The sequence below is a fragment of the Homo sapiens genome, chromosome X (assembly GCF_000001405.40).
Source record: "Homo sapiens chromosome X, GRCh38.p14 Primary Assembly".
Taxonomy (NCBI): domain Eukaryota; kingdom Metazoa; phylum Chordata; class Mammalia; order Primates; family Hominidae; genus Homo; species Homo sapiens.
Genome location: NC_000023.11, coordinates 64696886 through 64698862, shown reverse-complemented (window position 1 = coordinate 64698862; position 1977 = coordinate 64696886). Strand labels below are relative to the sequence as shown.

The 1977-nt window shown below is 42.8% G+C and overlaps 1 pseudogene; it reads left to right on the top strand.

Moving 5' to 3' along the window:
• Positions 272-1188, top strand: GRPEL2P2 (GRPEL2 pseudogene 2; annotated as a pseudogene).
• Positions 1189-1977: the final 789 nt, after the last annotated feature.

Genomic DNA, 1977 nt, shown 5'->3' with positions numbered 1-1977 from the left:
CAAGGCAGGTGGATCAATTGAGGTCAGGAGTTCAAGACCAGCCTGGCCAACATGAGGAAACCCCAATTCTACTAATAATACAAAAAATTAGCCAGGCGTGGTGGCAGGCACCTGCAATCCCAGCTATTCAGGAGGCTGAGGCAGGAGAATGGCTTGAACCTGGGAGGTGGAGGTTACAGTGAGCCGAGATTGCGCTATTGCACTCCAGCCTGGGCAACAAGAGCAACACCCCATCTCAAAAAAAAAATTATAACTAAAAAAAGAAATATTGAGCAAGTGCGCCTGTGCTGCTTCCATCAGCCCAAGTCGGGAACATGGCCATGTGGTCAACGTGGGCGGGCTGCCAGCGGGTGTAGCACCTACTGGCTTAGAGTGCCTCATGGGAGAGCAAGGGATGCCCACTTCCATTCAGCACTGCCACCCAGGGAACCGCTGGTGAGGACTGCCATTCCGAGGACCTTCCTGATGACCTTGGGCCCTCTCTTGCTGAACAAGCCTTAAGGGTAAAAGTTGTTAAACTGGAGAAGGAAGTCCAGGATTTAATGGTGAGATACCGGAGAGCTATAGCTGATTGTGAAAACATAAGGAGGTGAACCCGGAGATGTGTGGAAGACGCCAAGATATTTGGAATCCAGAGTTTCTGTAAGGACTTGGTGGAGGTGGCTGACATTTTGGAGAAGACTACAGAGTGCATTTCTGAAGAATCAGAGCCTGGGGACCAGAAGCTCACTCTGGAGAAGGTCTTCCAACGGTTGTCACTTTTAGAAGCAAAGCTGAAAAGTGTGTTTGCCAAGCATGGCCTTGAGAAGCTGACACCCATTGGTGACAAATATGATTCCCATGAGCATGAATCCTCTGTCATGTGCCAGCTGGTGTTGTGGTGCAGTCTGGCACCACGGCATTAATGAGACAAGATGGTTAAAAACTTCATGGCTGCACCATTAGACTTGCCCAGGTAGAAGTGGCAGTGGAGTCTCAGAGAAGACTAAGAGGCCATCAGGAACTGAATGTTCTCCCTGAGTGCAGCTACCTGTGTTTCTTTTATTTATTAAAGTAGGTTTGTATTGCACATGTGGTACTTCATGTGATATGTTTTGGATTTAGTCATATTGGTTTTATTTCTAAGATATTCTATTGATTTAATGTGACCTGTTTGGTCTCATCAGAAGTCTTATCATTGGGCATTTGAATAGTGTGACATCTTCCGATGGCCTTTATGGAAACATGGTTAGGAAAATTGGTACTCTGATGAACTTGAATCCAAAATTTTTTTAACTATGTGTTTTAAACTACATGTTCCTTCCTAGTGGTCCCTATAACAGGAATTGTATAGTATATTGTATTTTGTGGAAAAAGGAGATGGTAGGGATTGGTTCAAATTTTAGGTACTTAGAGGATAAAGCTTCTTCATATTCTTGTAAATTTATTCTTGTATACATTTAGATCATTTGGATGTATTTTATACACATAGATTTTCAGGACTTTACCTTTTGTTTTCTTTCCTTTTAGTCATCTTTTGTAATTGTAATGCAACTAGATAGGCTTTATGCTCACATCATTGTCTCATACCCACCCTTTCTCATCCTCAGTTGCAGGGGCTAAAGGTCTAGGTGAGACTTGGAAGGAAAGGAACATGAGGAAATTTGAGATACCCAGGACCCTTTCAAGCAAGAATGACCAAAAAGCCTTGGGCTGTCTTTGCTCTGAGCTATCTTCGAATAATTTTCAGCCTCCCTGTCATATAATCATTTCTGGCAAATTGAGTCAGCACTAACAGCTAATGACCCAGATGGCTGTATTCAGATAATTTACCTACAACTTCTTATTCCACCAGCCCTTACTCCTCTTATCCTTTGTCAATTTTGCCTTATAATCCTTTATTAGATGATGGGAGGTGATGATCAAGACAAAAGTGTTAGGTTCCCATGATTTCTCCTTTCATTTATTAATAGTTATGCTGACATTTTCTAAGCTTCC